The following is a 19,954-nucleotide window of genomic DNA, read 5'->3' on the forward strand; positions in this document are numbered from 1 at the left end:
TTTTTTGCTTTCCATTTGCTTGTTAGATCTTCCTCCATCCATTTATTTTGAGCCTATGTGCATTCGTTTCACATGAGATGGGTCTCCTGAATATAGCACACTGATGGGTCTTGACTCTTTATCCAATTTGCCAGTCTATGTCTTTTAATTGGGACATTTAGCCCATTTATTTTTAAGGTTAATATTGTTATGTGTGAATTTGATCCTGTCATTATGATGTTAGCTGGTTATTTTGCCCGCTAGCTGATGCAGTTTCTTTCTCGTATCGATGGTCTTTACAATTTGGCATGTTTTTGCAGTGGCTGGTACTGGTTGTTCCTTTCCATGTTTAGTGCTTCCTTCAGGAGCTCTTGTAAGGCAAGCCTTGTGGTGACAAAATCTCTCAGTGTTTGCTTGTCTGTAAAGGATTTTATTTCTCCTTCACTTATGAAGCTTAGTTTGGCTGGATAGGAAATTCTAGGTCGAAAATTCTTTTCTTTAAGAATGTTGAATATTGGCCCCCATTCTCTTCTGGCTTGTAGAGTTTCTGCCCAGAGATCCGCTGTAAGACTGATGGGCTTCCCTTTGTGGGTAACCCGAACTTTCTCTCTGGCTGCCCTTAACATTTTTTCCTTCATTTCAACCTTGGTGAATCTGACAATTATGTATCTTGGGGTTGCTCTTCTCGAGGAATATCTTTGTGGTGTTCTCTGTATTTCCTGAATTTGAATGTTGGCCTGCCTTGCTAGGTTGGGGAAGTTCTCCTGGATAATATCCTGAAGAGTGTTTTCCAACTTGGTTCCATTCTCCCTGTCACTTTCAGGTACACCAATCAGACATAGATTTGGTCTTTTCACATAGTCCCACATTTCTTGGAGGCTTTGTTCATTTCTTTTTACTCTTTTTTCTTTAAACTTCTCTTCTCACTTTATTTCATTAATTTGATCTTCAATCATTGATACCCTTTCTTCCACTTGATCGAATCGGCTAATGAAGGTTGTGCATGTGTCACATAGTTCTTGTGCCATGGTTTTCAGCTCCATCAGGTCATTTAAGGTCTTTTCTACACTGTTTATTCTAGTTAGCCATTTATCTAACCTAAGGTTTTTAGCTTTCTTGTGATGGGTTTGAACATGCTCCTTTAGTTCAGAGAAGTTTGTTATTACTAACCTTCTGAAGCCTACTTCTGTCAACTCGTCAAAGTCATTCTCCATCCAGCTTTGTTCCATTGCTGGCAAGGAGCTGCAATCCTTTGGAGGAGAAGAGGTGCTCTGGTTTTTAGAATTTTCAGCTTTCCTGCTCTGGTTTCACCCCATCTTTGTGGTTTTATCTACTTTTGGTCTTTGATATTGGTGACCTACAGATGGGGTTCTGGTGTAGGTGTCCTTTTTGTTGATGTTGATGCTATTTCCTTCTGTTTGTTAGTTTTCCTTCTAACAGTCAGGCCCCTCTGCTGCAGGTCTGTTGGAGTTTGCTGGAGGTCCACTCCAGACCCTGTTTGTCTGGGTATCACCAGCGGAGGCTGCAGAACAGCAAATATTGCACAACAGCAAATATTGCTGCCTGATCCTTCCTCTGGAAGCTTCGTCCCAAAAGGGGACCCGCCTATATGAGGTGTCTGCTGGCCCCTACTGGGAGGTGTCTCCCAGTTAGGCTACATGGGGGTCAGGGACCCACTTGAGGGGGCAATCTGTCCGTTTTCAGAGCTCAAACACCATGCTGGGAGAACCACTGCTCTCTTCAGAGCTGTCAGACAGGGATGTTTAAGTCTGCCGAAGTTGTCTGCTGCCTTTTGTTCAGCTAAGTCCTGCCCACAGAGATGGAGTGTAGAGGTAGTAGGGCTTGCTGAGCTGCGGTGGGCTCTGCCCAGTTCGCACTTCCAGGCCACTTTGTTTACCTACTCAAGCCTCAGCAATAGTGGATGCCCCTCCCCCAGCCAGGCTTCCACCTTGCGGTTCAATCTCAGACTGCTGCACTTTCAGTGAACAAGGCTCCGTGGGTGTGTGACCCGCCAAGCCAGGCACGGGAGAGAATCTCCTTGTCTGCCAGTTGCCAAGACCTTGAGAAAAGCACAGTATTTGGGTGGGAGTGTCCCGTTTTCCAGGTGTAATATGTCACAGCTTCCCTTGGCTAGGAAAGGGAAATCCCCCAACCCCTTGTGCTTCCCAGGTGAGGCGATGCCCCGCCCTGCTTCAGCTCACCCTCTGTGGGCTGCACCCGTTGTCCAACCAGTTCCAATGAGTTGAACCAGGTACCTCAATTGGAAATGCAGAAATCACCCATCTTCTGGGTCAATCACACTGGGAGCTGCAGACTGGAGCTGTTCCTATTCAGCCATCTTGGAATGGATCCTTCTCTGACTTTTTTGAGCAGTGTTTTGTAGTTCTCCTTGGAGAGCTCTTCCTGCTTTGGCTCTCAGCTTGACTGATGTTGGTGTATGGAGTGTTAGGGAGCTTTGCACATTGATTTTGTATTCTGAGACTTTGTTGAAGTTGTTAATCAGCTTAAGGAGCTTTGGGGCTGAGACCATGGGGTTTTCTAGGTATAGGATCATGTTGTCTGCAAACAGGGATAGTTTGACTTCTTCTCTTCCTATTTGGATGCCCTTTATTTCCTTCTCTTGCCTGATTGCCCTAACCAGGACATCCAATACTATGTTAAATAGGAGTGGTGACAGAGGACATCCTTGCCTTGTGCCAGTTTTCAAGGGGAATGCTTCCAGGTCTTGCCATTTAGTATGATGTTGGCTGTGGGTTTGTCATAGATGGCTCTTATTATTTTGAGGGATGTTCCCTCAATACCTAATTTACAGGGAGTTTTTAACATGAAGAGGCGTTGAATTTTATAGAAATCCTTTTCTGTGTCTATTGAGATAACCATGTGGTTTTTGTCTTTAATTCTGTTTGCAGGATGAATCACATTTATTGATTTGCTTATGTTGAACCAACCTTACATCGCAGGGATAAAGGCTACTTGATTGTGGTGGATAAGCTTTTTGATGTGCTCCTGGATTTGGTTTGCCAGTATTTTGTTGAGGATATTTGCATCCATGTTTATCAAGGATATTGGCCTGAAGTTTTCATTTTTTGTTGCATCTCTGCCAGGTTTTGGTATCAGGATGATGCTCATATGCCTCGTAGAATGAGTTAGGGTGAAGTCCCTCTTCCCTATTCTGGGAATAGTTTCAGCAGGAATGATACCAGGTCTTCATTTTTTACCTTGTAGAAAAATTGACATGGCAAGACAGCTTGGTAGACATGAAATCAGAAGTGGGGGAGTTAGTTTGATTATCTTAGAGGAGGCATTCTTCATCACTGTAGGGGAAAAAACTTTCAAGGAAATGGTGTACTTGAGTCCACATGCCAAGGCACCTTCTTTCCCCAGACCATGCTAGAGATACTTTGACAGATTATTTTAGTTGCTTTTTTTTTTTTTAATAATTTTGTTGATCATTCTTGGGTGTTTCTCGGAGAGGGGGATGTGGCAGGGTAATAGGACAATAGTGGAGAGAAGGTCAGCAGATAAACACGTGAACAAAGGTCTCTGGTTTTCCTAGGCAGAGGACCCTGCAGCCTTCCGCAGTGTTTGTGTCCTTGGGTACTTGAGATTAGGGAGTGGTGATGACTCTTAACTAGCATGCTGCCTTCAAGCATCTGTTTAACAAAGCACATCTTGCACCACCCTTAATCCATTTAACCCTGAGTTGACACAGCACATGTTTCAGAGAGCACGGGGTTGGGGGTAAGGTTATAGATTAACAGCATCCCAAGGCAGAAGAATTTTTCTTAGTACAGAACAAAATGGAGTCTCCTATGCCTACTTCTTTCTACACAGACACAGTAACAATCTGATCTCTCTTTCTTTTCCCCACATTTCCCCCTTTTCTTTTCGACAAAACCACCATCGTCATCATGGCCCGTTCTCAATGAGTTATTGGGTACACCTCCCAGACAGGGTGGCAGCCGGGCAGAGGCACCCCCCACATCCCAGACAGGGTGGCCAGGCAGAGGCGCCCCCCACATCCCAGATGGGGTGGCCGGGCAGAGGCGCCCCCCACCCCCAAGACGGGGCGGCCGGGCAGAGGCGCCCCCCACCCCCCAGACGGGGAGGCCGGGCAGAGGCGTCCCCCACCTCCCAGACGGGGCGGCCGGGCAGAGGCGCCCCCCACCTCCCAGACGGGGCGGCCGGGCAGAGGCACCCCCCACCTCCCAGACGGGGCAGATGCTGGGCAGAGGCGCCCCCCACCTCCCAGATGGGGCGGATGCTGGGCAGAGGCGCCCCCCCACCTCCCAGACGGGGCGGATGCCAGGCAGAGGCGCTCCCCACCTCCCAGACGGGGCGGATGCCGGGCAGAGGTGCTCCCCACCTCCCAGACGGGGTGGCCGCCGGGCAGAGGCGCTCCCCACCCCCCAGACGGGGTGGCCGCCGGGCAGAGGCGCTCCCCACCTCCCAGATGGGGCGGCTGGGCAGAGGCACTCCCCACCTCCCAGACGGGGCGGCGGGGCAGAAGTGCTCCCCACTTCCCAGACGGGGCAGCGGCCGGGCTGAGATGCTCCTCACTTCCCAGATGGGGCAGTGGCCAGGCAGAGGTGCTCCTCACTTCCCAGACGGGGCAGCTGCCGGGCAGAGGTGCTCCTCACTTCTCAGACGGGGCGGCCGGGCAGAGGCGCTCCTCACCTCCCAGAAAGGGCGGCCGGGCAGAGGCGCTTCTCACTTCCCAGACAGGGTCGCAGTCGGGCAGAGGCACTCCTCACTTCCCAGACAGGGTCGCGGTCGGGCAGAGGCACTCCTCACCTCCCGGACAGGGCGGCCGGGCAGAGGCGCTCCTCACCTCCCGGACGGGGCGGCCGGGCAGAGGCGCTCCTCACCTCCCGGACGGGTTGGCCGGGCAGAGGCGCTCCTCACATCCCAGACGGGGTGGTGGCCAGGCAGAGGCACTCCTCACCTCCCAGACGGGGTGGCGGCCAGGCAGAGACGCTCCTCACCTCCCAGATGGGGCGGTGGCTGGGCAGAGGTGCTCCTCAGTTCCCAGATGGGGCGGCTGGGCAGAGGCACTCCTCACCTCCCAGACAGGGCGGCCGGGCAGAGGTGCTCCTCACTTCCTGGACAGGGCGGCTGGGCAGAGGCGCTCCTCACTTCCCGGATAGGGCAGCCGGGCAGAGGCGCTCCTCACTTCCCGGACAGGGCGGCCAGGCAGAGACGCTCCTCACATCCCAGATGGGGTGGTGGCCGGGCAGAGGCGCTCCTCACTTCCCAGACAGGGTTTAGTTGCCTTTTTTATTCTATGTAGATGACCCCATCCCCACCATATTCACATATTCCTTCTTCACTCAGGTACAAAATTCAGTAGGACACGACTTTCTGAGTCATATGCTGGATTTGAGGAGATACTGAAGCCACAAGACTGAAATAACTTTTAAACTGTGGGTGATTTGGCTAAAAGCTACTCTCATCTATTATATATTCATCTTACTAGTTTTGCTCTCAGAGGAAGTTCCTGTTTCCAAGGTAAAGGAACCTTTCTCTAACTCCACCTACCTTCCTCCTCACTAAATGGGTACAGAAAATATGCTTAGAAAAAAACGCAGAGGACCCTGATATTGTCATTCTGAAATATCAGTAGTATCTGTCACATTTTGACAGGAACTAGATACTAATCAATTTATAAGATTGAGTTTTCATGTTTCTAAAGTGCAGATACTCTGTGTTGATGGTTAAAGAGAAAGCCAGCTGGTTAGGTGTCAGATGATCTCTGACAGTGTTACCATAGACATTTAATTGCATGACCATATCTTATCCAGATGGCATTTCTCGCTTACACAGATACATAACCCCAGAGGGGCAGAGGGAGAGATGTCAAATTTCCCTCAAAATAGAACTTTGAGTCCACCCAAAGTCTACCAAGTGAGACTTTACAATTCTGCCCAAAGAGTACAGAAATTACATTGATCTGGCAAGAAAGAATGAATGGGAACCCAAAGGTAGCTGCTTGAGTTAATCAGGTTGGTGAGTGGCTGACAGGGTGCTAGAGTGGGCAAAGTCAACATTAAACCACCAGCGCACAACTTCCTATGTACCCAATGTTCACCTTCCCAGCTCCTATCATCTTTGCCACTTTACTCTGAACTGGAAACCCTCTGTACATTTTTTCCTCTTTAACTCAAAGCCTTTAGAACTCTCGAGCTCAAGCAGTCCCCTCCTGCCTCAGCCTCCTGAGTAGCTGGGACCACAAGCACACGCCACCATACCTGGATAATTTTTAAATTTTTTGTAGAGATAGGGTCTCTCCCTATGTTGCCCAGATTAGTCTCGAACTCCTGGGCTCAAGTGATTATTCTGCCTCGGCCTCCCAAAGCACTGGGGTTATGACCCACCACGCCTGGCCCCACATCTTGTTTTTCACATAATGAAATGTTTTGAAGACAGTTTGTGTCAACATTCATAGATCTAGCTCAGTCTTTTTCATGTCTGCATAGAATTATGTATTATGAATGTGGTAGAATTTATATATCCAGACATCAGTTGATGGACTTTTAGTCATTTTTAGTCTTTTGCCATTACAAACAATGCTGCACTGAATGTCGCTGTCTATGCACCATTTTTTCACATATTCATAAGTATATCAGCAGGTTAAATTTCTAGAATTAGAATTCTTCAGTCAAAGGATATATGTGCTTTACCCTTTGATAGATGTTACTCAATTGCCTCCCCATCAAAGAGGTTCTACAAATTTTTACTCCTACAAACATACAAGAAGTATCTGTTTTCCCACATCTTTGTCAACATATATAATTTCTTTACTGAATTTACAGTAAAATTCACTTTTTAAGGTGTAAAGTTCTATGAATTTTGACAAACATATAAAGTCATTTAACCACCATCACAATCAAAATCTAGAATATTTCTATTATTTCCAAAAGCTCCTTTGTGGCCCTTTGTAGTCAATCCTCTGTGCCCATCCTGAGCCTTTGCCTACTGATCTAATTTCTGTTCTTAGTTTTGCCTTTTCCAAAATATCATATCAATGAAAGCACAAAGTAAATAGCCTGTTTGAGTCTGGTTTCTTTTACTTAGCATAATGCTTTTGAGATTCATACATATTGTTACATTTATCAGTAGTTTATTCCTTTTCCTTATTGCTGAGTAGAATTTCATTGTATGATTGTTCCCAATTTGTATACATTTGCCAGTTGCTAGCATTTGGATTGTTTTGAGGTTTTGGCAATTATGAATAAAGCAGTTGGAAATATCTAGGTACATGTCTTTGTGTGGACATAGGTCTTTGCTTTTCTCAGGTAAATACCTCAGTGTGGGATTGCTCAATTTTATGGTGAGTTTTTATTTAACTTTATAAGAAACTGCCAAACACTTTCTCAAAGTGGCTTTGTTATTTCCCATCCCTAGCAGCAAGGCACAAGTGTTTCAGTTGCTCTGCATTCTTACCAACATTTCATATTGTCAATATTTAAAAAATTTTGGCCATTCTAATAAGTGTATAGTGAATATTATGTATTTATCAAACTTTAAAAATGTTGCTATTCTGAAAATTATTTTTTTCATTTACATTTCTTTAATTAAGGGTAGTTAGAATACATTTAATATGTTGATAACACATATTTCTTTTTCTTTGAATTGCCTATTCATCTTCTTTGCCATTTTTCTATTAGGTGAGCTGATCATTTTCTTAATGATTTTAAAATGACGCTTATATATTAGTGAATCCAACTATTTCATAATTGTTGCAAACTTTTGTCATTTTTTACTTTGATTTGTTAACTTACAGAAATACAATTTACAAATTTTGAAGAGAAGAGGAGACTTTATTTCTTATAAAAGGTTACAGCCTGCAGGATGGCCATTTTGACAGGTTGGGAAGTATAGCCTCCAGTCAGAAGCCAGAAACATATCTGGAGGGAGGGGCAAAGGGAACAGGAATTTACACAGAGCTGGTGGCCAAATATACATATTCAATAAGCTATAGAAGGAGTCATGAATATTTATGAAGGGAGAACCATCTGCATGTGTAATTGAGCCTTCTGCTTCTCCATGTTCAAAAAATGGTGGTGACCTTAGGTGGAGTTTTTGGCCCTCTGACATCAAAACATGAAGCAGAGGATGTGAAAACACTAGCTGCCTATTCTTCATAGACTGGCCAGAACCACCCCATAGTTAGTGGTCTCTTATCAGGCAGAAAAGATGGGGCAGCATCAGGGAGTCGGTTGATATCAGTGGTGGAGCCTTTTGAAAGGGCTGGTTTCTGTTAGGCCCTTGAGAAGGAAAGCCTACTCCTGGTTAGCAAGGGAGAGGGTCTGAGCCCCTCCCACCCTCCATTCCATCTTGGCCGAGAACGCAGTTTTCAAGGTTTCTCTGGGGTCCCCTTGGCCAAAAGATGGTCTGGTCAGTTGGGGGGCTTAGAATTTTATTTTGTATAGCTTATAGCACATTTTTCTATAGTAATATTTGTATGTAACCTCTAAATTTTGTACCTCATTGGTGCAAAAATAAGGCGGTATAAATGAGAGAGTTTATAAAGGCAAGGTATACAAGACAAGACTATAAGGCTAGGCACCCTGGTTGAGTCAGTTCACCCTGCTTCCACTATTATCCAGCACTAGAGATGCATGGCCAATACAGATTTTCTTGCTTATTCTCACCATCTGCAAATAACCAAGGCTTGTTGACAAATGCAGCTGCTTTGAGAAAGGGTAGAGTCCCCAGGGCACAATTTTTCAATTTCAGATGTGGAAGAAGACTCGTTTAGTGGAAGCAATGCGCTTATTGCTGAGGCCATCAATATACCAGATTGTTACGCCTTTTGGCTGGGACACAGGGAATTCCTGTCTGCAGAGTCAGTGACATCACTTTGCCGGAAACAGCCTTCCTCCCTGCCAACCCTACACTTAAACATGGGATTCCACACTGACCACAAAGGCCTATTATTCTCAATGCAATCTATGGGCAAAAGAATTTGAGGGAGGCTAGAAGGGGTGGGGGCAAGAGAGAATGGATGGTTTGGTTGGAGGAAGTGAGAAGAATCAGGGAAGAGGACTCTTTTGCTTCCTCATTTCCCATACATAGAGCCTCTGTCACCATTTGATTTTTGCGATCATTAACATTTTTAGAGTCAGGTATAACCAAGTGCAAACCAGTTATGTTAGTTACATGCTGCTAATCTGAGAAGAGTGTGTTGCCCAAGAACTGTGGGTGGGGAGCCTCAGGTTGGCTGAATCTGATTTGCAGGAAGAGCTTGTTCTGCACCCCCACCCACATCTACACTATCTGGATGTCACCAAATAGGCTCTCCCCACCCAAAGCTGAGTCTCAAGGGGTCCACTCAGTATCAGCCAGGCTACGTTGTTAAGATAAATGCAATTGTTTTCTAACTAAGAAGCTGTGAACCGAGAATAATTGGCTAATTAAAAGTTCAAAGAGTGGAAATAAAATAGCATTAAAAAGAGCCAGTAACTTCCTCTGACGTCTGTGGTTCAAGAGATCAGTGGAACAGGACATGGGTTATTTACTCAATTACCTTGTCTTTCTACCTTTCTTTTCATTCTCACCCCCACCCCTTCCCTTCCTTCTTATTTCCTGGCTCTATTTTCTTACCTGTGTCTCCCAACCCAATGTCCATCTCATTTTTCCTCCTTCTTTTTTGCCTTTTGCCCTTTAACTAACTGGTTATCATTGAGATCTTTAGGATCAAAGTTTGTCTTTAGCAGTTGTGTTTCTATTGATGTTTGTGCTGACTTCTTTAAGTAAAATATAGGCAGGAAAAAACCCGCTAAATTAAACTGCTTTATCCTTGAATGTGACTCTGGATTGGTTAATTGGAGAAATATGGGGTTGGGGTAGAATAAGACCTTTCCATTTAGATAGAATTTTGGACTAGTGCTTTTGCATTGGGTCAGCTGAGAAAGAATAAAACTGAAAAATTTCTACGCATCTCTAATGCAGGACAATGATTTAAGGCATTGAAGTGGAACTGAGACACTTGGATCAAATCCCTGTTCTGCCACGTGCAAGGTGCATGACTTGGGCAAGTCCCTTAAGCTTCCTGAGAAACACAGTCTCAGCCTTTTGTCACTTAACTGTAAGCTTCTGACTGTCAGGGATGAGATTCATGATTTCAAAAGGTAGGACATTGGTATCCTCAGTGAGAACAGTCCAGACAACCCTTCCAGCCAAATCCTCAATGTTGGTCACTTTTTATTTCTGGATAATGAGATTGGCTACCACATAACAGTACTGGTAGCACAGCCCAGACACTGTATGAGCCTCAGTCATGTATTGTAGGGTAGGGTGCTGGTTAAAAGCCTGGACCTTGAAGCCAGAATGCCCGTGTTTAATTCCTGGCCCTGTTACCGGTGGCAGCTATCTGAGTTACTGGCAGTGTATCCATACGGGTCTGCAGTAACCTCAATTCTTGCCTCATCAGAAGAAAGAATGTGAGGGATATAAAGTAGAAAAAGAGACTGAGTCAAGTTTCAGAGCAGGACTGGAAGTTTATTGAAAAGGCTTTAGAACAGGAAAGAAAGGAGAGAACCCTTGGAAGAGATCCAAGTGGGCAACTTGGAGAACAAACAACGTGTTTAGCTGTGATCCTAGGACTTTATAGGCGGCCATCTTGAGCCCTTTTCCCGTGATTCTTCCCTTAGGGTGGGCTGCCTGCACGCACAGTGCCCTCCTTACCTCCTTGAGCACACAGTGTGTTTAGGAAGTTGTGTGCATGCTCATCTGAGGCTTTCTTTCCTTTTCCGGTGGAGTGCTCCCGGCAAGTCATCTTCCACCTTTTGTCTCTTAATGTGCATGCCCAGGAAGTTGCTTCTCCCTGGTGCTTGAATTCAATTAACACTTTAATGTTACAGCTGTGGATCAGCAGATTTTCTCTCCCTGGCTCCAGCTGCCAAATTATCATTTTTAGAGAGGCAATGTGATAACTGTCAAACCATCACCTGATATTTCTAGTTGGTGGGGGAGAAGAGCCCTTTCCTGCCATGTCTGTCTAACTACATGTAACAGCGCAACATTTACATCAGTGTAACTTTGGGAAGTTACTTAATCTCTCTGTGACTCAGTTTCCTCATCTGTAAACTAACAATAATGATAATTATAATAGTGACTGTGAGTGTGACTTTATTTGGAAATATAGTAGGGTGTTCAGAGATGTAATTAAGCTAAGGATCTTGAGATGAAATCATCTTGAATTTAGGGTGGGCCCTAAATCTGATGACTGGTGTCCTTATGAGAGAAAGGAGAAGGAAACGTGACACAAAGAGCAACAGGGGGAAAGGCCATGTGAAGACAGAGGTGGAGATTGGAGTGATGCAGCCACAAGCCAAGGAATGCTAAGAAGCTGAAAAAGACAAGAAAGACATCTCCTCCAGAACCTTCAAAGGGAGCATGCCCCTGCTGATACCTTAACTTTTGGACTTCTGGCCTCCAGATTTATGAAAGAATACATTTCTGTTTGAAGCCAGCAAGTTCATGGTAACTTGTTGTGGCAGCCCTAAAAAACTAATACAGATTTTATAGAGAAGATGATAGTATTACGTGCACCTTATAGGATTGTAGTGAAGGCTAAATTGATGGCTGCATTTAAAGTGCTAAGAGTAGAATCTGGAATATAGTAAGAACTCTTTAGTATAGGCTATTACGTGTTGTTAGCTCATTGAACCTTACATAGCAACCCTATGAAGCAGATACTATTGTGACTCCCATTCTGCCCATGAGGAAATGGAGGCTTACAGAGACTAAGCAAAGGTAAGCTTATCTGAACTCTGCTCTAGCTTGAACCATCCCCCAGAAGTCTGTGGAGTTTGACTAACTGCTGATGGATCCTGATGATTGTTGGCTCGGTGACCCTTCCTGATGATGGTCTCTCAGAAAAGACTCTCCAGTGCTGAGCCATCAAGAAGTCTAGAAGGCATTGAGAAGGCTGTCACATGTGATTATGTTTACTCCTCCTGGATGCGTCTGCCCAGACCTGGTTTTGGCACAAGCTCTGCTCTGATGGAGCCAGGCTCTGTCCACACTTGGCTGTGTGGCCTGACCTCATTTGAGTAGCCTCAGCACATCATTACCACAAGAGGCAGGGATGTGCCACCCTAAAAGGCCACACCCTCTCTCTCCAGTGACTTCAACAGCCCCCAATGGTTCCTTGTTCACCCCTAAGTTGCTAAGCATAGATTATATGAATGACTTTAGAAGTAAGTCACATCACTCAGAATAAGGCAAAGCCCTCACTAGTGCCCTCAAGGCCTTATGAGCAGGGGACCCCATTGATCCTCTGACCAGTTCCTACTACTCTCCCCTCAGGGCCTTTCTGTGTACAGTTCCAGATGCTGTAAAGCTCTTGCCTCAGAGGTATGCAGGCTTTCTCCCTGTGATAGAAATCACCTTCTCAGGCCAGTCCTAATCACTGCATCCTTCCTTTTTACCTTCCTTGCTTTTTCTTCCTCCTCAGCACTTAAAATTATGTAATACACTGTAAATTTTGTTTATCTTGCTTATTGTATTTTTCTCCCAACTAGAATATAAGCACCATGAGGATAGGGACATTTCTCACTTTGGGTTATTGCTGTAGCTCAGAGCCTAGGGCAGGTCTAGTTCATAGTAATAATGTGTTCAATAAGTAATTATTGAGTGACCAACTGAAAAAATGAATGAGGCATAGTCCCCTCTCCAACAACTATAGAACTCCCAAACTGAAATGGTTCAAGCTATATCTAGAGGTAGCACATGAAGAGAGGACTACTGACATAACTGAGCTTTGTAGAGTATAGGGGGAGCATAGCTTCCAACTGAGCTTGATTTTGAAGGAGACAAAAAGACTTGGAGAATGAGGGGAATGGAATTACAAATGAAGGCGTCCCACACTGAGAAAAGTTCAGAGAATCCAAAATTCATTCATTCATTCATTCATTCATACAACATGGGATATACCAATGAACAAGCCAGAAAAAAGTCCCTGCCCTAAGGAGCTTACATTCTAGTAGTCATAATGTCAGGAATTCTCATCTTGGACCCAAACAGATCTGTTGGTTGGAATGGTAAAATGGGAAGGGCTGAAATTTCTGAAGGGCTTGGAGGTCTAGGTAGACCAGTGTAGCTTTCATCTGGCACACAGCAGGACATAGGTTCTTGATAAGGTAGAGTCTTAGGAACGTCAATTGTGGAAGATTTCTATAGCCACATGAAGGAGGGATTCTGATAGAGAAGATAATTAGGAAGTGTGGGAGTCACCAGAAAGGGCCATTGTAGAAGATCAGATATGAGGTAAGGGTGACTGGAATCAGGGGATGTGGATATCACTATAGAAGAAGGTGGGTCTAAGGGGCTTGGGATGAAATAACTGAGAGAGGATCTTCAAGCCCCTGAGTGTGAGAACAACCTACATATGTGTCCTCAAGAAGAGTTCCCTGATGGAGAAGAAGGAAGGTAGCAGGGGTGGTGTGGAGACTTTGACTCTGTGAGTTGGAGGAACGACAACGCCAGATTAGGACCAGTCTTCTGAGCTTCAGTGATTGTTCCATCATTAGGCTATGTAAACACAGGAAGGACCACAACATTCCTTGAATGTTTGCTCACCAATGCTTGTCCACATTTGCTGTTTTGTTCTCTATATGACAAGAAAAGTTTAGTCCAGATGTGACTCATAACAAATTGGAAACAATTTGAATCTAGTCAGTCACATTGGATCTGCAAAGCAAAACTTTTTTTTGCCTGAAATCCACCACATCTGTCAACACCCCAAATCTGTTTATTAATGGAGTAAAATTTTAAGCTGTTATATTTTTGTTATCACAGAGTAGCAATGCTGGGATTTCTCTATACAACAGAATTTTGACTATGGACAAAATTAAATAATTTGTTTGTTTGTTTTGGAGACAGGGTCTCACTCTGTTGCCCAGGCTAGAGTGCAGTGGTGTGATCTTGGCTCACTACAACCTCGGTGTCCTGGGCTCAAGCGATCCTCTCACCTCAGCCTCCCAAATAGCTGGGACTACAGGCATATGCCACCACGCCTGGCTAATTTTTGTATTTTTTTTGTAGAGACAGATTTTCACCATGTTACCCCCCAGTCTCAAACTCCTGGACTCAAGTGATCCGCCCACCTTTGCCTCCCAAAGTGCTGAGATTACAGGTGTGAGCCACTGCACCCTGCCGAGATTAAATAATTTTGATTTTCACCTTAGTATGATTATAACTGGACATCATGATGGCTGTTTCTATAAGAATCAAAAGAACCTTTGCTTCCTTTGATTCTTATAAAAGTCTTGAAGGTATTTTTCCTCTGACACAGCTAATTGGCTTGAAATCAGCCTGTGTTTTTTCAAAGCTTGGGTTTCCTTCAGTTTTATCTCTCTGTCAGGTGAAGAGTTGAAGTTAATATTACCTTGCTCTCTCACTTTAAGCTGAAAATTCCCCTCCCTTGTCACATCACATGAAAAGAAAAAAATGCAAAGGAAGTGGCCGTCTTAAATTCTCCAGTACAGTAAGCCAATTCAAAGGGAAAACAATGACAACACTTTGCCATTGGATATTTTGGTAAAATCATTTGTTGAAATTCTGTTTCGAAATACCATTTCACATTGTATGACAGAAACCACATTTCTGTTATCCACAAGGCAAATTAAGGGCTTTTCAGGGGGAAGACAATCAATGTGAATTTTCCATAATAGAGCTTGACTGTGGCAGTCATGGGATCTGAAAGCACTCTGGGGGTCTAAGAAGAAGGGGCAGTTACCTAAGTAATTCTCTTTTTATGAACACATCCAAGATATGTCAACCTGCACCCCACCTCTAGCACCTCTTCTTTGGCACCACTTCTGAGATGACTCTCCTGCTTCCTGGATGTGATCAGGGCTTTTGAAAACTGGCTGACATATAGTCCATGGAAGATAGCATTTTAATTACTGCTCTCTGGGTAATGTAGTCAGTTACATGAAAAACAAACTTAACCATTGTGGGTTCTTTTGGTAATAAAAACATTTGAAAAATCATGTATGAAAAATTCCTAAATTTTCTCTCTGACCTAAAAATCTTTTTCTTATTATATCTTTAATAAGAAATAAGAGTAGGATGAAAGGCTTGCATATATTCTGGTAACCTGGATATCATTGCAAAAGCTGGGAAAATGTGGAAAAGTGTACATCTAACTCCTCAATGACAAGAAGAAGTTAGTAAATTTTCTCGTTAGGAAAAGGAAGAAATAATTATAGTCACATCAAGTTGGTTCCCACCTCTGGGTTCTTGCAGTTTCTGTTCCTTCTTCCTCTTATGTTCTTACTCCCTCTCCAGGCTGGTGTTTTCTCCTCAAATGTCACCTTCAAGGTCTCGGCTCAAATGTCATCTTCTGAGAGAGGCTTTCTTGACCCTCAATCTGATACCTTTCCCTTCATTCCCAATTCTACCGCAAGTCACTCTATCAAGTTCCTTGGTTTGAATTTCTTCTTAGCACATATTGTGACCTGAAATCACCTATTTATGTGCTTCTTTTCTGGTTTATCTGTCTTGCTAACTAGATTGTAAATTCCAAAGAGCAGGGGCCTTATCAGTTTTTCTTTTTTTATTGTAGTAACTTGGATGCTAAGAATAGTGCCTGAAATGGCCATGGAAGGAAAATGAGATTGCAAGATTGTCATATTTACAAAAACAAAAGAAGTTAACAAGTAGACCTTGTTGAATAGCTTGAGGGAGTAAAACATTCAAAATTTTATTATGGTAGAAACATTGCTACAGTTTGTTTGTTGTTATATTTATAATTGGTTGTTTTATTTATAATTGCTTATCTAAAGGACATGCTGCTTAGGGCTGTGTTTGTCAACATCACAACGTTGGGAACCAAAGTGGGGTGCCCTTAGAGGGTTCTTTTCCAGATTCCAGAACACTGGCATCAAAGAGGACATCTCTCCCATACCAGTTTTATCCAGATGTTTTAGCTTCAAGTAGTTAAAATCCTGACTCTAATTGGGTCAAAGCATAAGTTTTATGGAAGGATGGGCTCAGCATTTGTTGATTTAGCAGCTTAAAATGCCATCAAGGACTCACGTTCTCTACATCTCTCTGCTCTGCCATCATTGAATGCCATCCCTTCCAGGCAGGACAATGTTTGAGGATGAAGAGAGAATGTTTTCTTTTTTCCCTAGACTTGCCCCAGAAGACTTCCTCCACGGTCACATGGGCCATAATTAGGTGGCATACCCATTATTAAACCAGTCACTGGTGAGGGAATGAAATTACACAGACAAGTCCATCCCTGAGCTTGGGGGAAAGGCAAGCATCTGAACAAAATGGAGTTTCTTTTGGGAAGGGAGAAGCAGGGAAGTGCTGTGTATTTCACCTGCTCTTCCTTGTTTGGAAGCAATAGATAATGATGTTGCTAAAACTTTTTCTCCTAAATTTTGTATTGTTTGGTCTGATGGGTAAAGACTGCCTCAAGATTCTGGGGATTGAGGTGGATTGGAGACCCATACCTTAATCCAAGCTTAGACTTGGATTAAGTTCAAGCTTCTGCTCAAGAGCTTCAGAGAGAGCTCCCATTTCAGTGCCCAGCCAGCTTCTACGTTTGGGAATAGTTTGGGGAGTTGAGAGAGGAGGAGGTTGAGTTGTCAAAATGGAGGGAATGGTGCAACCATTTCATTTCCTGTTCACTTCCTCTATGCAATCTGTTTACATCTGACCAAAGTAGCTTTTGCCTTTTTTTTTTTTTTTTTTTTTTGAGAGGGAGTTTCACTCTGTCTCCAGGCTAGAGCACAGTGGTGCAATCTTGGCTCACAGCAACCTCTGCCTCCTGGGTTCAAGTGATTCTCCTGCCTCAGCCTCCTGAGTAGCTGGGATGGCAGGTGCACGCCACCATGCCCATCTAATTTTTGTATTTTCAGTAGAGACGGGGTTTCACCATGTTGGCCAGGATAGTCTTGATCTGTTGACCTCGTGATCCACCTGCCTCAGCCTCCCAAAGTGCTGGGATTACAAGCGTGAGCCACGGCACCCGTTTTTGGTTATTATTTTTTTGAGATGGAGTCTTGTTCTGTCGCCCAGCCTGGAGTGCAGTGGTGCGATCTTGGCTCACCGAAACCTCTGCCTCCGGGGTTCAAGCGATTCTCCTGCCTCAGCCTCCCGAGTAGCTGGGATTACAGGTGCCCACCACCATGCCTGGCTAATTTTTGTATTTTTAGTAGAGATGGGGTTTCACCATATTGACCTGGCTGGTCTTGAACTGCTGGCCTTGAGATCCACCTGCCTCAGCCTCCCAAAGTGCTGGGACTACAGGTGTGAGCTGCCGTGTCCGGCCACTTTTGCCTTTTATATAATTCTACTATTGGAGCTTTTCTAATGTCCCATGACAGAATGAGACTAAAGACAAAATAAATAAGATAATATGAATTATGATCCAAAATGTTCAAGACTCCTCAGCCTCTATGCCATTACCAATTGCTTACTATGTAAGGGTGGTTTAAATGCAAGGGGTATGTATGTCAAGCCAGGAAATGTCATGGAATAGTGGGATTTGTTGTTTGATGATACATTCTTAATACTTTTTAACATCATAAACATTTTGTGGTAGATTTCAAAAATGAGGAGGGGTATTCTTGTTTTTTGTTATTTGTTACTTCTACCTTGATAGATCTGTGTGAACTGTTAAACAGCCAATTTGGGGCTCTTCTCACTCCTCATTCCATATCTGATCACTGACCTAGTTTTGTCCTTGCCACAGCCACTAACTCAGTCTTGGCCTTTGTCAAAGTACAAACAAATCCTTTTGTTCTTGAATTATTTCCCAATTACTCTGTAAGTACCTCATTGATAAAAAAGATTGGCTTTTAATCTGTCTCTGATGTCTCCAGGTAGCCATTACAAGACCAGACAGAAAGGGGAGGAAAATCAGTGTTTTTGATTTCTTGTTGGTATTTTTTTCTTCTGCTTTTGGTTTTAGAGTCTAACGTGAAGACATTTTGCTCCAAGAATATCCTAGCCATCCTTGGCTTCTCCTCTATCATAGCTGTGATAGCTTTGCTTGCTGTGGGGTTGACCCAGAACAAAGCATTGCCAGAAAACGTTAAGGTAAGTCAAATATATCTGTGTGTTTGTGTGTATGTAAGAGGAGATCTGGGTGGGACAGGGGGAGGAGGGATAAGGTATGTAGAGCATAGGGGACGAGTTGAGGTTCTAACAGCCCAGGAACAAGTCAATTTCCACTGGATTAGGGGAGTAAAATGGAAATAGGTGCTCATTCTAGAAGAGTAAATGCCTTGAATCATTAGTGGTGGGAAGTTAACTGCCTTTATGATTGTTTAGTAAACTCATTAAATTGATACTCTAGCAGAGATGAATGCTTTATTCACCTTATCCAGATCTGTGTAATACTATGCCAAGATTCTATATTCTAGTATATTTCCACTTCTTCATCATGGGTGAATCACAATACTGCACTCTGTTCTTTTTACTTCATTATTATCACTATCACCAAAACAATAACGTTTATTATACAACTCTGTATAAAGTACTTTGGAAGTCAGAGATTGAGGAGAAGACATGTTTCTTATCTCCAGATATAGTAAAGAATCAAAATCAATAAAAGCAAATCAGAAAACATATACGTGTATCAGGTATAGTCATTTGAAATGAATTCATGGATAGGCAGATTTCTTGTGACATTTCTACATTTGAACAACTAGTTAATATCATTAAAGATCATTAGGATCATTAACTTTAATGTATTTATGTTTTCTTTCCAGTTCATCAAAGTAAAATTTCAGACATGAATATCTCACAAGTACTTTGTAATATGGTCATTATATTTTTTAATCTGTTAATTAAAAAGCATGTGGTAAATAAAAATTTATACTATAAATACACCATTTTAAACTTTCACTGAAATTATAGTAAACAAATATATAAGGGCCCAGATGATACCAATATGCTAATATGCATGTATGTACACATGGGCAGTAATATATCTAGAAGTTAACTTGACCATGGAGGCCTGGGAATACATGTGTAGAAGTATATTCTCTTGTATTTGAAGATGTTGAACTGGGAGCCTGGAAGGATGGTTGTGTATGCCAGGCCTCTGAAACTTTTGCCATCCACCCAAATCACTGTATAGCAGAGGCGTGGGTGTCACACTGGCATCTTTTTGTCAAGTTCAACCCAGTGGTGCTGTGTACAGCAGTCCCTTTGTCAAGACAGAAGGCTGATACTATCTCATTGTTAAGGGTCGCTTGCCTTTTAATGTTGACTGATGTTGTTTCCTTGGCAAAACTTCACTCACAGTTGAAGCCTCATGACATCTTGGTTCCATTATTTGTTTACCAGCTCCAAAAATACATGGTTGCCTTCTTAATTTGACCTTTTTACATGTTCAGTATTGCATCATTGGAGAGGGGGATGCCTAGGAGGCAAAATCCATGACAAACTTGAGTTATGTTCCCAAGAATATGTGTGGTCATGGACGACCTTCCCTCATTCACAGTGGTCTCCTTTAAGTCTCTTGTGCTTCTGCATTGTTATATGGGCCTGGCAAAATGGAACAAGGTCTTTGGCATTCTTTAAATAAAAGGTAGGAGTATTGAAGAGCAGTCATTGGCATCTGAAGTGAATCTTTTTAATAACATCACTGATTTATTTTATACAAAGATAGTTTTATATATGCAAACTAGCCATTTGTTGAGGTTATATAATAATTTTAGTAAGATTCCTGGCATATATTGGGGGCAAAATATTTCAGGAACTTGTATTCTGGTGATGGCTTTAAACCAGATGTGCTGTCCAATTTGATAGCCACTAGCCACATGCAGCTCTTTAAGCTTGTCAATTAAAATTAAATAAAATTAAAAATTCTGTCCCTCTGTTGCACTAGCCACATTTCAAGTGCTCAATAGCCATACATGGCTGGTGGCTACTGTATTGGACAACACAGATATAGAATATTGCCTTGCTGTAGAAAGTTCTATTGGACATTGCCACTTTA

General features: G+C 43.3%; 1 protein-coding gene and 1 long non-coding RNA gene across 33 annotated transcripts in view, besides 1 other annotated feature; one reads left to right on the top strand and one right to left on the bottom strand.

The window, feature by feature from the left end:
• The window catches only part of ENTPD1 (ectonucleoside triphosphate diphosphohydrolase 1), a 183,082-nt gene that overhangs the window by 111,135 nt on the left and 51,993 nt on the right, over positions 1 to 19,954 (top strand). For 24 of the 32 annotated variants that reach the window (NR_199793.1, NM_001440933.1, XM_047426024.1 and 21 more), the window contains one exon: positions 17,918 to 18,045. The exons of 7 other annotated variants lie outside the window; for them this stretch is intronic. Coding sequence is in view for 19 of the 25 variants with exons in the window: in NM_001440933.1 (NP_001427862.1) it covers positions 17,918 to 18,045 (128 nt within the window). In the remaining 6 variants the exon portion in view is untranslated. Of the gene's footprint in view, positions 1 to 5,313; positions 5,488 to 17,917; positions 18,046 to 19,954 lie in introns of all 32 variants that reach the window. One more of the 32 variants, NM_001312654.1, reaches the window with a different exon arrangement.
• Positions 1 to 19,954, bottom strand: part of ENTPD1-AS1 (ENTPD1 antisense RNA 1) — a 337,030-nt gene that overhangs the window by 52,114 nt on the left and 264,962 nt on the right. The window lies entirely within an intron of this gene.
• Positions 15,284 to 15,333: an enhancer, noted in NCBI's record as "active region_3807". NCBI's record gives its function as "activates an Ori minimal core promoter by ATAC-STARR-seq in GM12878 lymphoblastoid cells {active_cell/tissue: GM12878}" and the evidence as "EXISTENCE:reporter gene assay evidence [ECO:0000049][PMID:35858748]".

The sequence above is a fragment of the Homo sapiens genome, chromosome 10 (assembly GCF_000001405.40).
Source record: "Homo sapiens chromosome 10, GRCh38.p14 Primary Assembly".
Taxonomy (NCBI): Eukaryota; Metazoa; Chordata; class Mammalia; order Primates; family Hominidae; genus Homo; species Homo sapiens.